The sequence below is a fragment of the Homo sapiens genome, chromosome 12 (assembly GCF_000001405.40).
Source record: "Homo sapiens chromosome 12, GRCh38.p14 Primary Assembly".
Lineage (NCBI taxonomy): Eukaryota > Metazoa > Chordata > Mammalia > Primates > Hominidae > Homo > Homo sapiens.
The window spans coordinates 12,109,751-12,134,213 of record NC_000012.12 but is presented as its reverse complement, the minus strand read 5'-3'; the positions used below and the strand labels follow the sequence as shown (position 1 = coordinate 12,134,213).

General features: G+C 38.9%; 1 protein-coding gene, 1 non-coding gene and 1 pseudogene across 17 annotated transcripts in view, besides 1 other annotated feature; 1 reads left to right on the top strand and 2 right to left on the bottom strand.

Moving 5' to 3' along the window:
- LRP6 (LDL receptor related protein 6) overlaps window positions 1–18,189 on the top strand; it is a 151,020-nt gene extending 132,831 nt beyond the window's left edge. For 6 of the 16 annotated variants that reach the window (NM_001414253.1, NM_001414252.1, NM_001414254.1 and 3 more), the window contains 6 exons: window positions 2,157–2,393; window positions 3,321–3,431; window positions 7,293–7,523; window positions 8,782–8,918; window positions 9,552–9,649; window positions 12,794–13,436. In NM_001414253.1, coding sequence (NP_001401182.1) covers window positions 2,157–2,393; window positions 3,321–3,431; window positions 7,293–7,523; window positions 8,782–8,918; window positions 9,552–9,649; window positions 12,794–13,088 — 1,109 coding nt within the window. In that variant the 3' untranslated portion in view covers window positions 13,089–13,436. Of the gene's footprint in view, window positions 1–2,156; window positions 2,394–3,320; window positions 3,432–7,292; window positions 7,524–8,781; window positions 8,919–9,551; window positions 9,650–10,885; window positions 11,033–11,608; window positions 11,723–12,793 lie in introns of those variants that run through there. The other 10 variants (NM_002336.3, XM_047428844.1, NR_182264.1 and 7 more) reach the window with 9 other exon arrangements.
- Window positions 2,987–3,187: a silencer, noted in NCBI's record as "fragment chr12:12283961-12284161 (GRCh37/hg19 assembly coordinates)". NCBI's record gives its function as "represses an EF-1alpha promoter that drives an FKBP-Casp9 reporter gene in an ReSE screen in K562 erythroleukemia cells {active_cell/tissue: K562}" and the evidence as "EXISTENCE:reporter gene assay evidence [ECO:0000049][PMID:32094911]".
- PTMAP9 (prothymosin alpha pseudogene 9) lies at window positions 22,043–23,232 on the bottom strand (annotated as a pseudogene).
- Window positions 22,178–22,262, bottom strand: MIR1244-4 (microRNA 1244-4). Its single transcript, NR_128710.1, has one exon. It is a non-coding gene; the product is annotated as a microRNA 1244-4 (primary transcript).

Below are 24,463 nucleotides of genomic sequence, written 5' to 3'. Positions count from 1 at the left end.
TTTCTGTAAACAAATATTGAAAGAGAATATGTATTCAACATATAAAAATTGTTGATCGGGTGGGTGGGATTACAAGTAAATTTTATTCGTCGAACTATAAGTTTTTTAAAAAATAAATAATGCATGTATTCAGTAGCAGCTATGGGCACTGTGCTTGGACCGTAGGGGATTTGAAGATCTTTGAGATAGCATACAGCGTAGTCAGGGAAATCAGATATGTACAAAGAGTTAAGCTCTGGTACTTGAAATTTTTAAAAATAGGGATTGCACAATAATGTGAATGTACTTAATGTCATTGAGCTATGCACTTTAAAGTGGTTAAATTGGTCAATTTTATGGTTACTTTACCCTCCCCCCCCCCCCCCCCCAAAAAATAGCATGTGTTTCCCTATCAGGGTGCTGGAGTGTTACTTTGAGGCAAATCCTAGAAAAATTTCTCTTTATGTTAATGATAACATGGATAAAACTGAGTCAAGGATCTCATCTTCCAGTTTGAAAATATCTTTTAAAGGGCCTTTTTTCTTGCTTGCACATTTAGCAATTATTTTTAATGTATGTATTAAAACGAGTTTTGACAGATGTATACAACTGTGTATTAGGCCATTCTTGCATTGCTATAAAGAAATACCTGAGGCTGGGTAACTTATAAAGAAAAAGTTTAATTGGCTCATGGTTCTGCCGGCTGTATTGTTCAGCTTCTGGATAGGCCTCAGGAAACTTTGATGGCGGGGGTGAAGAGTGAGCAGGCAGGTCACATGGCAAAAGAGGGAGCAAGAGAGAGAGAGTAGGCTAGAGGGAGTGCCACACACTTTTAAACAACCAGCTCTCCCAAGAATTCATTTACTATCAGGAGGATAGCACCAAGGCATGAGGGATCTACCCCCCATGATCCAAACACTTCCCACCAGGCCTCACTTCCAACATTGGGGATTACATTTCAACATGAGATTTGGAGGGACAAATATCCAAACTATATCACACGGTTTGCATGACATGCAGTTCAAAGTAGTGTCCTTTGTTTTATGTTTATTAGTTTCTTTCTATCCCCAACCAAATTCAAACTGCTTTAAGGACGTGGATATATTTTATCTACTTTAATTCTCCATACAATATAGATAGTATAGTGCTGAATACATAATAGGCTCTTATTAAATAATCCCTAAAATTCCCCATGTAAAATGTTCACCTGTAATCTGCAATATTCTCTGTTGTAAAGTTACAGGGTTTTCTGACCTATGGTCACATCATAAGGTTATGGGTTCTCTAGATAATTCACTAACAGACAAGTGTAAATAACTACTGTATAATTTACCTGTCAGTCATTCTTTCAAGTAAAAATGACATTCCATTTTGAGTTGGATTTACAACTCAAAACAAATGCTTTCCCATTAGAAACTACCACACTTAGGTTTGCAACATGAGCTTTATGCATAATTGCCATTTGATTGATCAGACTATTAAAGAGGCATACACTTGGGTTGATTTTAATATAATTTTTTATTGATTCATCAATAACATTCTTAAGTGAAATTGGTCTTTTTGTGTGTTTGTTTAAACTGTGCACATGTGGCTGTGTATAGTACAGTGATTACTAATAAAGTTTGTTGTCATTTGCCTGAGTCTGCTAAGGTACCAAGTTTTATTCACTATTTCTTTTGCAGCATCAGTGCAAAGATAGCCAAAAAAAAGCAATGACATCTTAATGTTATTATAAAAATAGTTTTTACCTAGTGGGTCCCCTGAAAGAGGTCTCAGGAACGCCTAAGGGTTCATGGACTATCCTTTGAGAAGCTTAGAGCTAGAAAACTTTTGAGTGCTAGGCTAACTTTAAAGTCTTTGGTAATTATACTGATTATTCCTAGGTTTTGTGTGAGACTGTAACGGATTGCAAATATTACAATCCTGTTTTGGATTACAAGATATGAAAAAACTTTTGCCTTATAGTTTTGCGGGCAAAAGTTTATAGTGAATGTAAAGGAAGTAATGTGAAAACCTTTATTTCTTCTTTGAATAGATGAGATAGTTATAAATCATATTTATTATAAAGTATTTTGTGTATGTTAATTATTAAATGAGCTTCACTCAGGTATGTGTTTGTACTTCTGTGTGACCATGATTGTGTTTTTGTCACTCCCCTTCTCCTTGTTCATTTGAAGAACCTCCAACATGTTCTCCTCAGCAGTTTACTTGTTTCACGGGGGAAATTGACTGTATCCCTGTGGCTTGGCGGTGCGATGGGTTTACTGAATGTGAAGACCACAGTGATGAACTCAATTGTCCTGTATGCTCAGAGTCCCAGTTCCAGTGTGCCAGTGGGCAGTGTATTGATGGTGCCCTCCGATGCAATGGAGATGCAAACTGCCAGGACAAATCAGATGAGAAGAACTGTGAAGGTATCCAGAATTCTTCAGTGCCTCAGCATGCAATCCTTTTTTCCCATTCAGTTGTTTAAACTTCAGTATTACTTGGCTTAGTGTCAGTTGGGGTTTTTCAAGTACATATGACTGTATCACTTCTGATCATAGTGCCATGTTCCATATTATTGTTTTAATTCACTCCATATGCATAAGATTTATACAAATTAATAAGCTTTGAAAATTGAGAAATGAAACTAAAATATATTAGGCCTTCAGTATATAAAAATAGTCCCTGTTTCCAATGAGCTCTGAATTAGTGGATTTATTAATTACGCTCTAACATATTTTATATTCTTCACTTTCCCTTACTAACTTTTCCCATGGTAAAAACAACCCAGCCAAGTTCTCTAGAATTCTTTAGTGAAAGAGGGAATTTAATGTAAAGAATAAGCCGGGCGTGGTGGCTCACGCCTGTAATCCCAGCACTTTGGGAGGCCGAGGCGGGCGGATCACGAGGTCAGGAGATAGAGACCATCCTGGCTAACACGGTGAAACCCCATCTCTACTAAAAATACAAAAAAATTAGCCGGGCCTGGTGGCAGACGCCTGTAGTCCCAGCTACTTGGGAGGCTGAGGCAGGAGAATGGCGTGAACCTGGGAAGCAGAGCTTGCAGTGAGCCAATATCGCGCCACTGCACTCCAGCCTGGGCGACAGAGCAAGACTCCGTCTCAAAAAAAAAAAAAAAAAAAAAAAAAAAATGTTAGGAAATTTCCTGCTGGATTTTTTTCTCCTACTCTTTTTTCTCTCTCTCAACCAATGGAACTCCAGAGAATAATATTTAAGTTATAGCTAAAAGTCTAATTTGTTTTTCATTTGTGTTCAGAAGGCACCTTTTGATTCTTGCCAGAGTTTGACTTTACATGATATTAAAAATAAGGAAACTATTTATGTTTTTTTTCCAGTGCTTTGTTTAATTGATCAGTTCCGCTGTGCCAATGGTCAGTGCATTGGAAAGCACAAGAAGTGTGATCATAATGTGGATTGCAGTGACAAGTCAGATGAACTGGATTGTTGTAAGTAGGACTGAGATCTATAAATTACTCTTAACAGAGAATTTAAACAATTTTTTTTCTTATGTGTGAGGTTTACTTATCGAGATTTCCTTTCTAAGTAATAAGTATTAATATTAAGCTAATTATTTGTGTGAAGGTTTTTTTATGTTTTGCTTTCAGTAATTCTTTAAACATAGCAGTTTTCTTATGCACAGAAATCTTCACAGAAACATTTAGTAAAGCACTAGAAAAGAGTAAATATTATTTTACTATAACCAAAGTTACAAAATTCTCAAATCATTTAGATACATAGAAATCAGCCGGGCGTGGTGGCTCACACCTGTAATCCCAGCACTTTGGGAGGCCAAGGTGGGCGGATCACTTGAGGTCAGGAGTTCGAGACCAGCCTGGCCAACATGGTGAAACCCTAGCTGTACTAAAAATACAAAAATTAGCCAGGCGTGGTGGTGCATGCCTGTAATCCCAGCTACTGGGAGGCTGAAGCAGGACAATCATTTGAACCCAGGAGGCGGAGGTTGCATTGAGCCGAGATCACACCATTGCACTCTAGCCTAGGCGACAGAGCAAGACTCCGTCTCAAAAAAAAAAAAAAAGAAAAGAATTCAATTGGTCTGAATTCAATTCAGAACTTAAGCAATCCACCCACTTTGGCCTCACAAAGTGCTGGAATTACAGGTCTTCATCTTCAAAATGAAGAGAATGATGCTTAACCTGATGCCTATAAGAAAATTAAATGATTTAACATATATATCATTTAGCCTAAAAAACACATAGCCTGGTTCATAGTAGATACATTGATTATGGAGTATAAGTGCTGTAATAGAAATCTACACAGGTGGCAGTAGAAATGAGAGAGTAGTCAGCTTATTAGGGACAAAGATGGACTTGATCAAGGAAGGCATCTTAGAAAAATGGTATTTAAGATTGGGTGTTGTGCCAGTGCGCTGGCTCACACCTGTAATCCCAGCACTTTGGGAGGCCAATGTGGGCAGATCACGAGGTCAGGAGTTCGAGACCAGCCTGGCCAACATGTGAAACCCCGTCTCTACTAAAAATACAAAAATTAGCTGGGCGTGGTGGCGGGCACCTGTAATCCCAGCTACTCAGGAGGCTGAGGCAAGAGAATCGTTTGAACCCGGGAGGTGGAGGTTGCAGTGAGCCGAGATCGTGCCATTGTACTCCAACCTGGGCGACAGGGCGAGACTCCATCTCAAAAAAAAAGAAAAAAAAGACTGGGTGTTGATCAATGAATAGTGTTCATCATGTAGATAATTGGAGAAATTTCATTTTGGGCAGAGGGAATATACTGTTCAAAAGCAGAAAAGAGTGAAACAGGCACCTCTGGGAAACTCCATGTAATGGGACTGCCAAAATACAGGCTCTGTTGAGGGGTGTCAGCAAGAGATAACATAGGTAAAGGTACAATCATGGAGGACTATGCTTTTCTTCTAAAGAGCCTAGACAATATTAACAATGGGGAGTGGAGAGTCACTGAAAATTTCAAGAAAAAGACTAGCATGGTCAAGCAATACAGAAGTTGTAAAGCCAGTGGGTTGGAGGTGATAAGCTTATAGGCAGGGAAATCTGTTAGATTGATTGCTTTCAAACTTCTGATCGCATCAAGAGGAATACAGAGATGTGAGCTCATGCATTTAAAAAGGTGTCACACAACACTTAAATATTTACCCATGTTATATAGAACACTTTCTGACATTTTCTGTTTTATTTTTTCAAAGCTGGTTGTAACCCACTAAATCATTCTCACCATTTACGAATGACTTGCAGCCTGTAATTTAAAAAGGAAGCGATTAGAGTTTAGGCAGAAGATGATAAAGATCTAAATCATGAGGAGGAGGAGTGGGGGTGGCAGGGAGAGAACAGATTTCGGAGTTGTTTCAGAAGTAGAATAAAGAGGAATTGGTAACCACTTAGCTATAGTTGATAAGTTTAAGTTGACCCACAGGTACCTCACTGAGTGACTGGAGTCATTAAATGGGATATATAGCAGGAACTGAAAACCAAAGTACCATACCACATCTTGGCTGCAGATGTAATGTTTGATTGATGTGATGTTTAATTTACATTAAATGCCTTTAGGCAGGCGTGTACTTTGCCACAAGCCCCATCACTTTTTATTATCTTATACTAGATGACTTTATTTATGGTGTCTTTACCCCTGGAATCTAGGAGAAATGACTGATCATGGTGACAGTGAGTTCAGTTTGTGATATGTTGCCTGAGAGGTACTCATGGAATATCCCACTGAAGCTCTTCAGGAAGTTGATTATAAGGAACTGTGGCTCAGAAGAGAGATTTGGTGCTCATTAGTTTATTGATAATAATGAAAGCTGTGACAGTAGATAGAATCTCCCAGGACAGTAAGAAGAGGAGGAAAATAGTAGGTGATAGATAGAAATCTCTCTGGGAAGCACCTGCACTTAAGATGCAGGCAGAAGAGAATGAAGCCAACAAAGGAAGCAGAGAAAGAATAATCAGAAATAGTAAAATTAAGAGAGTGGTATCTTGGAAGAATATTGATCAGACTTTTTTTTAAAGAGAAGACAGGAGCCAGCAGTATTGTGTAAAGAGGTTAGTGAAATGAATATATTGAATATGGCAAATAGTAGAACTTTGACTGTTGACAGAAAAGTTTCAGTGCAGTGGTGAGGGTGGAAGTCTGATTTCAGGGAGTTTATGGTGTGACCCAGAGGCTAGGGATTGAGGGTAGTGAATGTAAACTTTTCTTTCCTGAAGCTTGGCATTGCAAAGGAATGTTAGGGGACTAAAAAGGAATGAAAAGATGAGACGGTTGTTCTCAAGGACTAAGAAGAGTCTATGCTTCAGATTCCACAGACTAAATTTGTAAATGATAATCCCTACATATTATGTAACTTAGAGATGTCATTTTCACGCATTTCTTTCATATAATCTGTCAGAGGATGAGTTTAGCTATATGGATGGGAGATTTGAGGTAAGATGAAGCAGGAGGAAGTTTTTTAAAGGATCTGCAACTGTGAGATAAAATTTAACTGTTCAGAATGGAAGAATTTTCCCTCTGAATAGAGACAGTAATGCTCTAATTTCAATAAGCTCACTTTCCCTCTACCTCTGATATTGATGCCCTCTGCTTCTTAAACGGGTAGCTCAGGGATCCAGGGAAGGTGAATCCCTGGGGTGGTGTCCTCTTCTGGCAATGTGGCCTTTCTTTGTGAGTCCTCCAGTAATCAGGTATTAAAGACCTTATGTTCCTTGGTCTCAGGCAACTAGACAGCCTGAAGGCCAGCAGCATAGGGGATTTGAGAGCTGAGGCTTATCTTTAGCTTCCAGTTTTCATTCATCAGGCCTAAATGTCACTATTCAAATCTAAAATCTAACATGTGCTCAGAGCTGATTTTGGCTTCTTCACCATTCCAGGTAAAACATTTGATGACTTTTCTAGGTTTATCCCTTCTGGTCATAAATTTTTTCCCGAAATCTTGGAATACCGTTGTTCATTTGTATGGTATATAGAATGAAGTAGAATGGATTTTATCTGTTTATTTATTTAAAGCTTCTTAATGGTGTTTAAATCTGTACTTCATTTACCATCTTTGTTTCTATCTGTTTACAATTACACTTTCCAACCTATTGTTTTATTTCTGTCTTCATTTAAGGGTAGTTCATTTTGATTCCTAATGATGACATTTATTTCATATGTCTTCAGGGCGTGGTATGTATGTACTCATAAAAAAGAAAAGTGTTTATGAATTATCTTCATTAGGCTTATAGCTTCACATCCTATTAGCAAGCCCTCTTTTGATTACTATTTTGAATATACAGTTGTTTTTCTATTAAATAACCATACTGCATTCTTCATTGTAGATCCGACTGAAGAACCAGCACCACAGGCCACCAATACAGTTGGTTCTGTTATTGGCGTAATTGTCACCATTTTTGTGTCTGGAACTGTATACTTTATCTGCCAGAGGATGTTGTGTCCACGTATGAAGGGAGATGGGGAAACTATGACTAATGACTATGTAGTTCATGGACCAGCTTCTGTGCCTCTTGGTTATGTGCCACACCCAAGTTCTTTGTCAGGATCTCTTCCAGGTGAGTCAGGATGGATCCATTGAGAATCAAGTCTTTGGTCCTGCAAGACTGCCAGTTTCCATTGTGGAAAAGAATACTACCTAGAGTCTGTCTGAAACCATATTACTCTGAGTTTAAACAATTATAAGGACAAACGTTCTTTTTTACTATTAGCACCTTCTCTTTACACAGAAGGCCTTAGATATGGTTTGGTAGAAATTGTCAAAGCATATAAAGCAAATACATATGCAAGCTCTAAGCCTCTCTGACTGCAATTCTGGATGCATGCTACGGAAGGTGAATCAGCCAGTCATTTAGTGAAAGAGTTGTAAACCACAGGTTAAGTTCACCACCAGGGAACTCTAGTACTATGGAGCCCATGAATAAAAGGAGGCCAAAAATTATATAAGATTCCCTTCAGCCAACAAAGATTTGTAAATAGCTGGATGATAGAAGGGAGAATATGTCTTAAGTTTTCTCCTGACTTCATGTGCTAATAAGGGACAAAGGGCTAGTTTAGGCATAGCTGAGTAGCCAGAAGTTTTAAGCTTGGGTAGGCCGTGTTGCTCTAGGGAACTGGCCTTCTTTTTAATGTTTTCTGGTGCCCTTAGTTAAAAGACGCCTTCCTTTTAATGAATATGGAGAAGGCGGTGCCTTGCAAAAACCCTCTGAAAATAGGAACTTACTATGGGTGTAACTCTTAAGTAGACAAACATGGTTTTTAAACTGTTAATGGTAGTGTTGCTTTGTTGCCATACCTATTTTCAGTTAGTGGAATTTGGGAAGCTTCTTGGAAAAAATAGAATTTTTTCTTTAGCACTGGTAGTTTTGATTCTAGCAACATTTATATTCATTAGATGAAAAAATATTCTTTCATATGTTGTTTGTGCCCTAAAAATGTTTTTTTGTTTTCTTTTGAGCAAGTCTGGTATTTAATATGCCCTGCCTCACAACCTCTACCCTTTACAATCCTTTCAAATCCTCCAAGAGGTTGAAAAGCCCTTATTTTAAATAGCTCTGCTTCTACCAGGGGAGGGAGAAGGTGGGAGCTATTCTTGGCCTTGTTCTAGGCCAGCTCTTTCAATGGAAGCATTGACTTCTAGAAAACGTTCATTTCCTTTCTCCATTAAATGTTTTCAATTATAGGAAAAGAGTGTAAGTTATTTTAAAATCAGACTACTTCACTGTTGATATTTGTAATCCTACTGTTGAATGAAATTGCTTGATACATTTTTATATATCATACTCATCTTCAGTTTTTAACCTCCTTTTATTTTAGGAATGTCTCGAGGTAAATCAATGATCAGCTCCCTCAGTATCATGGGGGGAAGCAGTGGACCCCCCTATGACCGAGCCCATGTTACAGGAGCATCATCAAGTAGTTCTTCAAGCACCAAAGGCACTTACTTCCCTGCAGTAAGTAGTCTGTTTTCCTTTGAATGCGACATACATAAGATCTTAGATTTTTTAACTCATTTAAATGTGGGTGATCAGTGATAGTAATGTAAAAGTAGTTTTTGAATGTAAAATTTAGGCATAAAAGGCTCAAAGGACTTACCACACACCACCATCCATGCTTATAAATCTTTTAAGTTACTGTGTAGTAACCAGAATACTTGAAAGCACTGGGCATTAATTTCACATTTCAAGTAAAAGTAGAACTACTGAATGGTACCTATTGAGGGATTAGGGCCTTCATTTTATGACTTCCCAAAAGAGGAAGCACACCTGGAATTTCTCCTAAATCAATAATTTTTCTCTAAATACTTACTATTTTAAATAACCAGGACCTAAATGTACTGACCAATGATTTTTAGGTTACAGATTTTCGTTTTTGTCACTTTGCACTTTTTAGCCATGATGAGGTCTTAGGGAATGAGGAAGCCATAGTCCCAAAGTACTGTTTGAGGTCAATTCTTTGGAAAAGAAGAATTGTGCTAATAGTGTATTGTAAAGAAACACTAATAGAGATGAAGGAAGAAAAGTTGAAAGAAAGTCTGATAGTTTCTATGTTGTTATTTTAATATTTTAATTATTTTTTTCTTTTAGATTTTGAACCCTCCACCATCCCCAGCCACAGAGCGATCACATTACACTATGGAATTTGGATATTCTTCAAACAGTCCTTCCACTCATAGGTCATACAGGTAATACACATCCTTCTCTAAAATAAGGTGCAGTATTTATTGAAAGTGTTTCAGTTGTGGACCTGATATAGCCCCAAATGAGTAGACGATGGTCACCAGAGAGAGACTAGTCATCTTATCTTGATAGTACTGACATTGCCTCTACCACAAATCCTTTCCTTTCAGGACGTTATACTTTTTTTTTAATTTTTTGAGATGGATTTCGCTCTTGTTGCCCAGGCTGGAGTGTAATGGCATGATCTCAGCTCACTGCAACCTCCGCCTCCCAGGTTCAAGCGATTCTCCTGCCTCAGCCTCTCAAATAGCTGGGATTACAGACCTGCGCTACCACGCCCAGCTAATTTTGTATTTTTAGTAGAAACGTGGTTTCACCATGTTGGCCAGGCTGGTCTCGAACTCCTGATCTCAGGTGATCCGCCTGCCTTGGCCTCCCAAAGTGCTGGGATTACAGGTGTGAGCCACCACACCTGGCCTATACTTTTTTTTTTTTTTAAGAGAGTCACAAATGCTGGCTTTTATAATAATAAAATACAGCCTCAGGCTTTGGCAGTATTCTAAGGAGGAATTACCCACCAAAGTGACTGGTTTCAAAATAGTTTGATATTCTAAGAATGAAATATTGGGATAAGATTGGTTCATAGAATTGAGAGTTTAAAACAGCAACATACTCAGAGCACAGAATTTTAGAAAAGTTGAGAGAAATGTAAGTTCAGCCATTGCTTGCATATGCTATTACAATTTGGAGTGAAAGATTTCTCATGTAGTTGCATGGAATAAAGAAAGATTGAAATAAATAAAGTGTATTTGTAAGCCAAAAAAGAGAAAATTATTCCTTTTTGCTAATTTATGAGTCTATAAAGTGTGTTGAGCAGGTCAAGTACTGTTGTGTCAGCTTCCACTTCTATGTTCCTTGAAAGGCCAACAGACCATCAGTAGCTTGAGAGTTTCTATCTACACACTGAAGTGCCCAGGGTTCATGGGCATCCCTCAAGTGCCTGTTATCTTCTAGATAATCTTTTCTATCTTCTATCCTCTCTAGATAATCTTCTATTATCTTTCCTAGCATTTCAGTCAAATTGGCCTGATACGACCTCACCCATGTGTAGAAATGAAGTGGAAACCACTTAAAGTATCTCACTCAGAATTCTCATTTCAGCTTAGATAAGACTGAAATAGCCTTGGCTGTGAACTGATTGTTTTAATGATATGTTGTAATGTTGCTTTCCCTGCCACAAGTTTCTTCTTCTAGGAAGCCAAAACAGAAAAAGCAGAAGCCTGAAAATTGAGAAAGGAGAAAGATACAAAATTTTATTTTTTAAAAGTAATGTCCTTAATTCAAATTGACTAAGGCACTCATCAGAATAAACACGATTGCATAAAAAACTATTCTTGCTTAACTATTTTCCGTATAAGCCCAATTTCTGTTTCCTCTGAGTCAAAACTTACATCATTTGTTGAGATTTTGGTTTAAACTGGGACATGAAAAAATTTTATTAATTCAGTTTGTTTTCTTTTTTTTTTTTCATGAAAATAGAAGTATTTGGACTTTTAAATGTTGACCTTAGAAATTTCACCAAGGATTGACACCTGATTGGACAAAGAGTTAAACAAAACAAACTGTGACATCATGTCAGTATTGATAGTAAAAGCCTTTGAGAACTCACTCAGTGGGTCATATAACTTTTGGTCTCTGGCAGCCTTGCACCCTTTTTATTTTTATTTTTATTTTTTTTGAGACAGGGTCTTGCTCTGTCACCCAGGCTGGAGTGCAGGGGCACAATCACAGCTTACTGCAGTCTCCACCTCCCGGGCTCAAGCAGTCCTCCTGCTTCAGCCACCCAAGTAGCTGGGACTACAGGTGTGTGTCACCACGCCTGGCTAGCTTTTTTTTATTTTTTGTAGAGACGGGGTCTTGCTATGGTGCCCAGGCTGGTTTCTTTCTTTCTTTCTTTTTTAAAGACTAATCAAATGCAGTAGTAAGAAGGGGAGACAGAGTAGAACAAGGAATTTGATCTGTGACTGTGAACAATCTGGCAGCCATTTCTTTTGAAGCAAGCCAAGTGATATCAAATGGTTTGTATCCTGGGTTCCTGGGATATATTACCTGGTGGTGCTCTGTATCACTAGGTGTTTTATGAATCGTTGTATCAGTTTTTAACTTGGTTTTCCCCTTCTCTTGTAGTCACTTTGATGAGAAAGCTTATGAAAAAATCTTTGGGATAAATTTAAGATCAGCTTTACCATATTTAGAATAAACAGGTATAAGAAGTTAAAAATAGAAGTAGGAATGACAGAAAAGCCAGAACTTAGGTCAGATCTTATTTTCACTAGTATGTTTCTCTCTTTCCAATGCCTTTTTCTTTAGTTAGCAGTGCTACAAACCTAACAACTGTATGTCACTTGTAAAGATAAACAAGTGTAAGAAATAAACTAGGCCTCTGAAATATACATTAGAAAATTCACTGACCCTTTATGGGCATTTAAATTTTATCATTTTGATGTTTAAAGCTGCTCTTATGAGAGGTACTTACCTATACACAGGGAATGAAAACCGTTTCCCCCAATCACAGCAATTTCCCTTTGCTAAGATAACAACAATGGAATAGTTATGCCCCTGAGGCTGTCTACCAAAATCCAGCCTGGACTGTACAGAAATTGTACAGAATTGTACAGAAGAAAGAAATGAAGACTTCAGATGTCATTAAATTAATTATTCATCAGGTTAATTTTGGAGTAAAGAATGTTGAGGGAATGCTGACATGTTTGAGTAGTGTAAAATATGTAAAAACCCATTCTTCCCATGGGCTATGAAACTGCAGAACAAATTTGAATAGTCATTTTTTATTCTGTGATACAGTTTAACTTGAAGATGTAAGAGCACAACCAGAGGCTAGATTGAATTCACCTCTGCATTCCCATCCTGTTCATTTTCACTTGCCACTTTCTTATTTGCAAATAAGAAAGTACCTGCTATTTTCCTCAGCGAATCTGCCATTGAAAATTGCCTCTTGGTCTGTGTAAATTTAAATTGCAGTAGCTTATTGTTTTCATAGGGTAGTTGACATCTAATACCTCTATTCTGAGAGGGGAAATCATTTTTTTTTGTAAAACTAACTGCTTCTCTTTATTTTCTCCCTATACCAGCTACAGGCCATATAGCTACCGGCACTTTGCACCCCCCACCACACCCTGCAGCACAGATGTTTGTGACAGTGACTATGCTCCTAGTCGGAGAATGACCTCAGTGGCAACAGCCAAGGGCTATACCAGTGACTTGAACTATGATTCAGAACCTGTGCCCCCACCTCCCACACCCCGAAGCCAATACTTGTCAGCAGAGGAGAACTATGAAAGCTGCCCACCTTCTCCATACACAGAGAGGAGCTATTCTCATCACCTCTACCCACCGCCACCCTCTCCCTGTACAGACTCCTCCTGAGGAGGGGCCCTCCTCCTCTGACTGCCTCCAACGTAAAAATGTAAATATAAATTTGGTTGAGATCTGGAGGGGGGGAGGGAGCTATTAGAGAAGGATGAGGCAGACCATGTACAGTTAAAATTATAAAATGGGGTAGGGAATACTGGAGATATTTGTACAGAAGAAAAGGATATTTATATATTTTCTTAAAACAGCAGATTTGCTGCTTGTGCCATAAAAGTTTGTATAAAAAAAATTTGTACTAAAAGTTTTATTTTTGCAAACTAAATACACAAAGCATGCCTTAAACCCAGTGAAGCAACTGAGTACAAAGGAAACAGGAATAATAAAGGCATCACTGACCAGGAATATCTGGGCTTTATTGATACCAAAAATAAAAAAGAGGAAGAAGAAAAATTAAGTCCATCTCAGAGCAGCAAACCATAGATACATGGATGTAGCCAGATAGCCTTCAGTTAACTAACATTTGAGGGCCAACAAGTAAGAAATGATGAAAGGAAAAAAATGCAATTAATACTAACCTTGGACGAAGGGCTTTGTTTTCTCTAGGAATCCAACAGTGCTAGTGAGGAAAGTAGATATTTCTAAAAACCCATTCTGGGTGTTGCTGTTGTAGGAGAGATCAGCCCTCTGGTAAGATGCCATGAAGCTGTGTGTGTGTGCAAGTCTCTGTCCCTACCTTTAGAATCCATACCTCTGTCAAAATGAATTTTTTTCTCTAGGTATGTTTACCTTGCTGCCTCCTCCAGCAACTTGGTAAGTCATTTTGCTAAGATACCATGATTTTTTTAAGCTGAAGCATTGACTAAATGGAATTTTCTAAATTAAACTTGATTTTAATATTTCTTCTAGCTCCATTCCCCAGTAGGCTTAGCTCTTCAATTTGACTGCTGTTTTTGCATAATGATCAAAAGTTAGACATATTATTTCTCTTCTTCCAAGATTGTTTTAATGCTCATTAAAATGTCTTTTTACAACACATATAGACAATGTTTAAGAATTAAAAATTTAACCATTATGTTTTTGTTGTAAATCTCATATCCTTGCACTACTTTCAGCATATATCACAGTACGAAATCATTTATATATATATATATATATATATATATATATATATATATATATATATATATATTTTGTTTGTTTGTTTGTTTTCTGAGTAAAACATTTAAATATGTTCTGGTTAGAGACAATCTATTTAAAAAGATTTTTTTCTTATTAGGATTTTCCCTATATTAACAGTTTGTGATGTTTTCATGTTCTTTAGACCGGTTTTTCTCAGAATAATGTCTACATACATACCTCTTCTAATGTGTGACATGAATTTAATATCTTTCTGTTACCCACTGTGAATGTTAGGCTGTTTTCAAATTATCCACAAATTATTCTTGTAATCACCCAATATTTTTATGTGGGTCCTCTCTTACCCATTATGGATTAAGATAGTTTAACAAATTTAACAATGAGGATTAAATGAGAAGGCAAACTGTTAACTTCTCAGCTGTCAGAATTTGGGTGGAAGGGAATAATGGAAGCCTCTTTTGTGATCTGCCTGACCTGCTGTCATGTATGGTACTGGGGCTGCTACATCTTGAGCTATCAGGGCTGACCTGTGGAATGATTCTAGCACTTGCTCTGCCACCTTGCCAGAAGTTCGTTTCCTGCTTTTTACACATGTGTAGCACTTCTCTGCTAAAATTGAATGGTTTTAAACTAATGTATTTTTAGCTTAAGAGGTGTTGGTCAGTTAATTATTGAATTTTTTTTTTTTCTTTTTTAATTCTGTCTTGCCAAGGCCTCTCTGGGTTTCAGGGCCCAAGAGAAAACAGTGGAAGAAAGGATTCAGAATTTGGGCAAGGGTGAAGTAACTGTTCATGCAAGTTAAAAATACCTAAGTAAAGTTTTTGAAGATAAAATTGTGGTTTCAGAATAATGCTGATTGTTGGAGACTGTAAGAATCAGGTGCACTTGATTTTGCATATAAGCAAATGGTAAATCTATCAGAATCCTAAAACAGACAAGCATGAACTCTTCCCATTGCTGGAACTAAGTGCCCACAGTGTCAGACAAAATGGACATTGAACTTGGATTCTGTGATACACAGGGCACTTGATGCTTAAATGAAGATGGAAAGGTTAGCAATACCTGGGTGTCAGTTAGAATTTGAGAATTCTATATGTTTACATATTTAAATGTGCATCTTGATCTGGTGGGCTTCCCATGTGGAGACTTGCACTCTAATTAACTAAGAAGAATATTGCCTTGTTGGATCTCAGTCCACGTGCTTGCACTGCGATGGCAATGGCCTCTTCTTCAAAATACTAATTTGTGTGCCAATTTGTTTAAAATTATTTGAAGGCAGTTCAGCCTAATCTCAGTGTTCTCTTTCTGGGGTAGATGAGATGGATTCTTAATATTTCTGGGAGTACTTTTTAATGAGAGAATTGTCAAATTTGGAAAGATTTATTGAGCCTTAGGTTACATGGACAGTTAAGCTTAAGTAAACTGTATATTGATTATCAAACACAAGCTGTAATTGGAAAAGTTGAGAGGAAAAGCATGAGATCACAAATTAGGGGGAAAAAAGAAAAGGGATTTTTAAATTTGGTGTATTAAATTCATTGTCCAAGGGGGAAAATGAATAATGTTTCATTAGATTCCTTATATGCAAAAGTATTTATTTTGAACATGTGTCCTAAAATATATGCACTAACTGATGTGATTAAAATTGTCCAAGAAATAAACTTGAGCATAACATACTTTGTGTGCACCACAGTAAGCTATTCTGCATTGAAGTGGTCTTTTATAACTAAGGCCTGGACTTTGCTCCAACAGAGTCGTGGTCTTCTGAATAGTGACTTAAGGAGTTTTGTTTGCTTAAGTCAGATAATAGCACATTCACAGGGAAACAAAGAGAGTTGGTGGATAGAATTTTCTGACTATTAATTTTTCTTCCATGAAATTTTATTATGCCTTTGGCACTTTCTGCCACTCTTACAGCATATCACAAGATATCTGTTTAGCAGAAGATTATGTAGTTACTTTAATTTTAATATAAAAGTAGCTTGTGATACATTACCAAGAGATCTCTGATTCTTTAGTAAGTTTGAGAACACCTATTCTACAGAGATGATAGGTACTTAGAAATGAAGACTTTAAAGTACATTTTAATCTAATATAGGCCAGTAATTGGGGGAAGGGGCTTTGAGCAGTACAATTTTAAGATGATTTTGAGGGTTGTATTTCTTTATCATTTAAAAATATCCTAAAGTCAGTAATTTATATGAAGGAAACTCATTCATTATTGAAGGTATTAAAAATAGCCATCATCTGTATTAGGTAGCAGTTTTGGAGGATCATCTTTTTCTTTTGCTATAAAGCCCTATTAATGAAGAATACTTCCAGTAGAGTTAATAGCTGTAGCTTACCTAGTGTGTTAATGAAGTGTGTTTATTTATGTGACTTGATACCAGTAGTCATAATAGAGACTGAAGAGGTATGCGTTAAGCACGCCTACTTCTATGCAGTAAACAGGCTGCAGCTGCCTAGATTAGATTCTTAGAAATGTCATATTTTGAATTGTTTTATTTCTTGTAGGGGAAGCTTTGTCCCACTTCATTCATTTGCATGCCATAGGAATTACATATTGGTTATCATTACGTATCTAACAAGATTCAGAAACAAAAATCTTGGACTTTTCACATCCGAAATATGTCAGCTCTTAATAAATGTGTGGTGCTTAAGTCTACATATGGCATCCATAGTTGATTTAGAGTATGGATATGAGTGTGTTGACCAGTTATCAGTAGGTGGACAAATATTTGGGCATCTACAGATGAGACTATGCACTAAGTGTGGACTGAGTCCTAAAGAAGCTTATAGTCAGGTGTTGTTTAAAACATTATCAGAATTCTTAAACCCAAGGAATTTAATTTTATTTGGTATTTCTTAAGCCTAAAATGAACCAAGAGAAAGATGATTTTAGAAAGTACTTGTAGTGAAAGATGATTTTAGAAAGTACTTGTAGTGCATGTGTGGCTTCTGACTTTTGGGATGGCACCATTTTATAATAGTTTCAAAATTTAGCTTTTGAAATTCTCAACATTTTATGGTAGAAGACTTTGGACCTCAAGTATAAAATTATACGTTTATAATTTTTTTAAAATTTAAATTATAAGTATTGTGAATTCACACTCTCAGGCTATTGTCTGACTTGATCTACGTCTCATAAAGCCTGTACCTGAGTGGAGTGGAAGGTGGAGTCTTAGGTTAATCAGTTACTGACTCTACCCTCACCCTCTTTCAATTGAGGTAAACTTTGCTGTTTTTCTTTTTCATAAAGCATTCTCAAATTGTTGAGTTTATTGCTGAAAAAAATCTCCATGACTTTACAGATAGAATTACAAACTAAATGATGTCTTGTATTTAGAAGCAGAGTACAGACCTAACGAACTGTTAGATTCTCCACCATCACTTAGGGTTTGCCCAGAAGCAACACCAGAGAATTACAGACAACGCGCTTTTGCTGAACTGTCCATTTTGGTGGTTGTGTTTTTCAGTCAAATATAAGCAGGATGGGCGATAGAGATATATTTATATATAGATACATATTCTATATATCTAATGCCTAAATATGGGTATTAAAGGGAAAATTTTTAAAGTCTGATTAAATCCAATATGACATGAAATTAAATATATGGATTAGTAAGGAAAAATGTTAAAAAGTAGAGAGGATACCAAGAAGATTAAACTGGACTAGCCTTATTTGCAAGTGAAGGATCTGGTGCTGCTTTCAGATGTTTATCTTTTATTTTTTTCCCTTAAGCTTTAATCTTCGTCATTGTCTTAAAGTCAACTGGTGTTTCTTGTTCATTGACTTTGGTACGATGGTGCTTTGCAAGGATGTATTTATGTTATAATGGCCAACATTTGGTCAGCCCTTGTCCACTTATTCACTTCCCTCCTTTTGTAAAATAAGTGCTTTAATTATAAACTGTATAAAAATACCTTGTATAAACCCCTTTTTTGATTATTACAATAAATAAGCTGAATTGTAACAAATGAAATTTGATTTTTGTAATAAAACAGTGGAAAAGTAAAAGTGTCTGTCCTTTCTTTTCAGCAAGAAATTAAGACAGTAGCTGGTTGTCCTTCGCTGTTTCAGACACAAAACCCAGCTTTATTGTTTGCATTTTAAATAATACTCTGCCAGTACACCTATAGTCCCAGCTACTTGGAAGACTGAAGTGGGAGGATCACTTAAGCTGGGGAGGTTGAGGCTGCAATAAGACTCGTGATTGCGCCACTTGCACGGCAGCCTTGGGCTACAGAGTGAAACCCTGTCTCTAAATCAGTCAATCAGCCAATCAGTCTCTGCAAGAGAGATTTGCGAAGGGCTGTTGCTTAGTTCAGTGCTGGCAGCATTTGTGTTTGGGAACAAGAATAAGAAATAGCCTGTGCTTCAAAACTGCTCTTGTTTTCAGTAAACTGGAAGGAGTTCTAGTATGGACTCTGAGCACTTCCCTCTTTTCCAGGATCTTAAATTAGCTTATAAAATGCACATTGCTTTCCTGGTGAAGAGCCCAGTGTGATGTGATGATTCTTTTTCTGTGAGGGTAGGACATAGTAAAATCCAGTGAAATACCAGGTCTCTGCTTGATACTGAGCTTACTAGTTTGATAGGAAGGGAGGAAAGCTGCTTTTTTATTTTGCAGTATTTGAGCCCAAATACCAATTAAAGGGAAACCAAGTTTTAAAATGTTTTCCCTTAGCCAATGCCCTCAAATAAGTGAACTTACCTTGGTCTTTGCTGACTCCTCCCATTCTTTTTCCTAGAAGGAAAACAGAAACACGTTGTGCCATTCCCAGTTAAATGAAAGAAAGAAAAGGCAGAAGATTGGTTTGCCTGATGGAAAGGCAATCTCACGAATGGGGAAACACTGCAAACTGTTTTGGGTCCTTTTTTCCCCAGATAGGTTTTCAGCTAAGTAAATAATTAAGTAGTTTTCATTTTAATTCGTTGCCTTGTGTATGATTGCATTGTTTCTATAAATTTAATTCAAATGACGAATTACTGTCCTCAGATCTCTGGTTCCATCCATTTATATCATTATGTAATCTGCACAGTCCCCCCTCCCACAGAAAATCTGCTTGAGATTTGCATTTGCAAATTCATATTTAGTCAACATACAAAACCAGTCTTCTCCAATATGGAAGTTAAAATGAAGGATAATTTTATTAACATTCTAGCCTGCATTTACTGTGTACCAGGCACTGTGCTGCCTTTCCTCGCCTCCTGCCCTCCGACTTAAAATAATCAAAGATTGCCAGCTGTCGTAGCTTGAGCCTGTAAGCTACTCGGGAAGCTGAGACGGGAAGATCTTTTGAGGTCAGGAGTTTGAGACTAACCTGGTCAATAGAGAAACCCCTACCTGTAGAATAAAGAGAATAATAAAGTGATGAATGACCAGGCTTGACAGGAAATGCCCAATTTGAGTATGAAAAGTTCCACTGCAAAATTTTGATTAGAAATGGGTTGTCGCCAGCCGCAGCACTTTGGGAGGCCGAGGCGAGCGGGTTGCTTGAGGCCAGGAGTTCGAGACCAGCCTGACGGACTTGGTGAAACCTCATCCCTACTAAAAATGCAAAAATTAGCTGGGCATTGTGGTAGGCACCTGTAATACCAGCTACTCGAGGGGCTGAGGCAGCAGAATCTCTAGAACCCAGGAGGCAGAAGTTGCAGTGAGCCGAGATGAGGCCTTGGCACTCCAACCAGCCTGGGCAACAAGAGCGAAACTCCGTCTCAAAAAAAAAAAAGAAAAAGAAAAACGGGTTGTCTTTGGGTAGAGGGAAAAGGATATGGATTGAGGTCTAGATTTTAATCTTTATTCCACTGTAATTAATTGTCAAGGCATGTCTGGACTCATTTATCTCTCAGTATTTCTTGGTATTAGTCCCTAATGTAGAGTTTTCAGAACCTTAACTCTTTAATGAGCCGGTTGACTTTTTTTTCTTTTTTTTTAAGACTGAATCTAGCTCTGTCGCTAGGCTGGAGTGCAGTGGTGCTATCTCAGCTCACTGCAACCTCTGACTCTGTGGTTCAAGCGATTCTCCTGCCTCAGCCTCCCGAGTAGCTGGGATTACAGGCATGTGCCACCACACCCAGCTAATTGTTTGTATTTTTAGTAGAGACAGGGTTTCGCCATGTTGGCCAGGATGGTCTCGATCTGACTTTGTGATCCGCCCACCTCGGCCTCCCAAAGTGCTGGGATTACAGGCGTGAGCTACCACGACTGGCTACCACTTGACTCTTTAATTAGTCAATTCCAATACCTGTTCTAGAGAGGTACTTATACATAATGCATTTGAGGCAATGAATTGTATTACAAGGTAGAGTCCATTGAAGCCCAAACGCCTATGTGGTATCCTATTCCATGGAGATACCTATTCGATGCTTCCTTCCCCCTAAGCCCTTGCTTCACTTTCCAAAGAAAATAACTGTCAAAAAGGAGACAGCCCGATGCCCATCTTACATCACAAGCTGCATGGCAGACAAGAAGTGATTATCTTGAGGTCTTTTGACTTCTGATCATCCTACCAAAAGCTCCCCCACTACCATTACTCAATTGAACAGGCTTGAAGATTCTCGTCTTTTGTCCAGTAATTGAAGTTCCTTCTTGGGGATTCCATGGGAAGGAAAGGGTTAGGGTCCACAAGTATGCAGTGCTATGATTCCTAACTGCAGATACATATGTAACAGGAAAAATTTTAATACCTCAGTTTCTCTAATCTAGGTTATTCATATTTTCTCTTCTTAGGTCAGCTTTAGTTACTTGTGTCTTTCAAGGAATTTGTCCATTTCATCTAAGTTGTTGATTTACTGACATAAAATACGTTCTCTATCCTTTTAATGTCTGTTTTTGTTTCAGACATTGGTAATTTGTGTCTTCTCTACTGGGACTCAAAACGTAGTACCTAAAATATGACACCTCGGAATACTATTTTGAGCTGAAGGAATTGGAGAAAAATCATGGAAGCAGGATTCCTTCATCATTCTCACCTGAAGCAGTTTATAAACCTGGGATAAGTTTTCTGATCTTTCCCTTAAGCAGGTCTCTCGTGTGAGAGGTGCCCTCTCTACACCTGGAAGAGAACATTCTTATCTCTAAAGACAAAGTGTTGGCTGGGTGCAGTGGCTCACGCCTGTAATCCCAGGACTTTGGGAGGCTGAGGCGGGTGGATCACCTGAGGTCAGGAGTTTGAGACCAGCCTGGCTAACATGGTGAAACTGTCTCTACTAAAAATACAAAAATTAGCCAGCCGTGGTGGAGGGCGCCTGTAGTCCCAGCTACTCAGGAGGCTGAGGCACGAGAATGGCATGAACCTGGGAGGAGGAGGTTGCAGTGAGCTGAGATCGCGCCACTGCACTCAAGCCTGGGTGACAGAGCAAGACTCCGTCTCAAAAAAAAAAAAAAAAAAGTCACAAAGAAATCTAAACTTAGGTCTTGCTAAGTTTCCCCCAGTTATTATGAGATCATACCCTTTATGTCCTATCATATTTCTCCACAACTGTCTACTCTTCATCAAACCTACTACAAAACACACTAACACTTATCTGTTTCTTTGGGTCTTCATTTCAATATGAAGACTCCTGTACCATATAAAACATATTAAATAAATTTGATGGTTTTGTCTTTCTCCCTCTTTTTTTCTTTTCTTTTCTTTTCTTTCTTTCTCTTTTTTTTTTTTTTTTTGTGGAGACAGGCTCTTGCTCTGTCATCCAGGCTGGAGTGCAGTGACGCGATCTTGGCTCACTGCAACCTCCACCTTCCAGGCTCAGGTGATCCTCCCACTTCAGCCTCCCGAGTAGCTGAGACTACAGGCACACACTACCACATGCAGCTAATTTTTTTGTTGTTTTTTTAGAGATGAGGTTTTTTTTGTTTTTGTTTGTTTTAGAACAGCTCAGCAAAATAAAATTCCTGTTTATTGTTGGACAACATTGTTTCACACATACATCAAACAGGCCAAAAAAAAATAAACAGCAACTTCACAGACAAGGAAAAAAAAGAAACCTTTTATCTTTGGCCTTTTTAACCATCTCATACAAACCAACTACTTATAGTACAGCTAAGTACATACACAAAAAAGTTACTGGAATGCTCGGAATAAGATGGTTTTTCTGTTGTCATTTTTGCATTTTTTACAAGTTTTTTTTTCTCCTTTGAGATTATAATGAACATGGCCACACCACAAGTAAAGTGAGAAGTAGGACAGAGAACGCTCCGAAGGCTGGTTTGGTCATCCGAGATCATTAAAAATGGCCGACCCTAACAATATGTACAAAAATATAAAATGTAAATAAAAAATACAAGTTTCCTTTTTAAAGTACTTTTAAGAAAAAAAAAGCAGGGCCTTGGAAGTTTTGGTTCTTTTTCCCTCCCCTGTTGCAAATTCTCATGGTTTGGGTTGGGTGGTGGAGAGCGCGTGTCATCTGCGGGTGGCACTGCCCACGGTGGGCGGGCGGGCCCCTCTACTCGAAGGTGACCACGTTTAGATTCTGAGACGGGAAGTGGAGGGCGAATAGGTCACGGCGGCCTTTTTTTTTTAGTTTAACTTTTCCTTTTTTGCTGTCTGGTCATCCTCGTCGGTCTTCTGCTTCTGGGTATCGACATCGTCATCCTCATCATCTTCAGCTGCCCGCTTGCCCGTAGCTGACTCAGCTCCCTCATCTTCATCTCCGTCCTCTTCCTCACCATCACCTTCTTCCTCCTCCTCTTCCTCCCCACCTTCTTCCTCTTCTTCATCTACCTCGTTGTCAGCCTCCGGCTCCCCATTTTCCTCATTAGCATTCCTGTTAGCAGGGGCGTCTCTTCCATTTTCCGCCTCTTCCACAACTTCCTTCTTCTCCTTTAAGTCCTCGGTGGTGATTTCGGAGCTGGTGTCTACGGCTGCGTCTGACATGGTGGGGCACGCCGGTGACGCGATGCAGGGGATAAAAAAGAAAGCGAGAGTTCAGGGACTCTGGCGATAAAGCTGCCGGAGTCCGCGGCGGCGGAGGAGGCGCGCGGCGGAGGCGGCTGCGGCGAGCAAGGAGGCTGACGAGGCACAATGCAAAGATGGCTTTTCAGAGCAGCCAGTGGGGAGATGAGGTTTTACCATGTTGCCTAGGCTGGTCTTGAACTCCTGGGCTCAAGCAGTCTGCCCACCTCAGCCTCCCAAAGTGCTGGGATTACAGGTGTGAGCTACTATGCCTGGCCAAAAAATCTACTTATTTATAGCTCCATCCCCACCCCATTTGGTTGTTTGTAACAAAGTTATATCTTTATCCATGTTCCCCGAAACATAAACTAATAATTATTTTAAACACATTAGAATTTTAAATTATGGGCCGGGCGCGGTGGCTCACGCCTGTAATCCCAGCACTTTGGGAGGCCGAGGCGGGTGGATCATGAGGTCAGGAGATCGAGACCATCCTGGCTAACAAGGTGAAACCCCGTCTCTACTAAAAATACAAAAAAATTAGCCGGGCGCGGTGGCGGGCGCCTGTAGTCCCAGCTACTGGGGAGGCTGAGGCAGGAGAATGGCGTGAACCCGGGAAGCGGAGCTTGCAGTGAGCCGAGATTGCGCCACTGCAGTCCGCAGTCCAGCCTGGGCGACAGAGTGAGACTCTGTCTCAAAAAAAAAAAAAAAAAAAAAAAAAAAAAGAATTTTAAATTATGTAGAAAACAATGTGGAGGCCGGGCGCGGTGGCTCATGCCTGTAATTCCAGCACTTTGGGAGGCTGAGGTGGGCGGATCACCCAAGGTCAGGAGTTTGAGACCAGCCTGACCAACATGGTGAAACTCCATCTGTACTAAAAATACAAAAATTAGCTGGGCGTGATGGCGCACGCCTGTAATCCCAGCTACTCAGGAGGCTGAGGCAGGAGAATCGCTTGAACCCAGGAGGTGGAGGTTGCAGTGAGCCGAGATCATGCCACTGCACTCCAGCCTGGGCGACAGAGTGAGACTCTGTCAAAAGAAAAAAAAAAGAGCTGGGCGCGGGGGCTCACGTCGGAAATTCCAGCACTTTTGGGAGGCCGAGGCAGGCAGATCATGAGGTTAGGAGATTGAGACCATCCTGGGTAACACAGTGAAACTCCGTCTCTACTAAAAATACAAAAAATTAGCCAGGTGTGGTGGCATGTGTCTGTAGTCCCAGCTACTCGGGAGGTTGAGGCAGGAGAGTCGCTTAAACCTGGGAGGCAGAGGTTGCAGTGAGCCAAGATTGCGCCATTGCACTCCAGCCTGGACGACAGAGTGACTGTCTCAAAAAAAAAAAAAAAGTGTAGAAAACAAAAAGTAGAGTTACAAACCCTTGTCCAAATAATACTA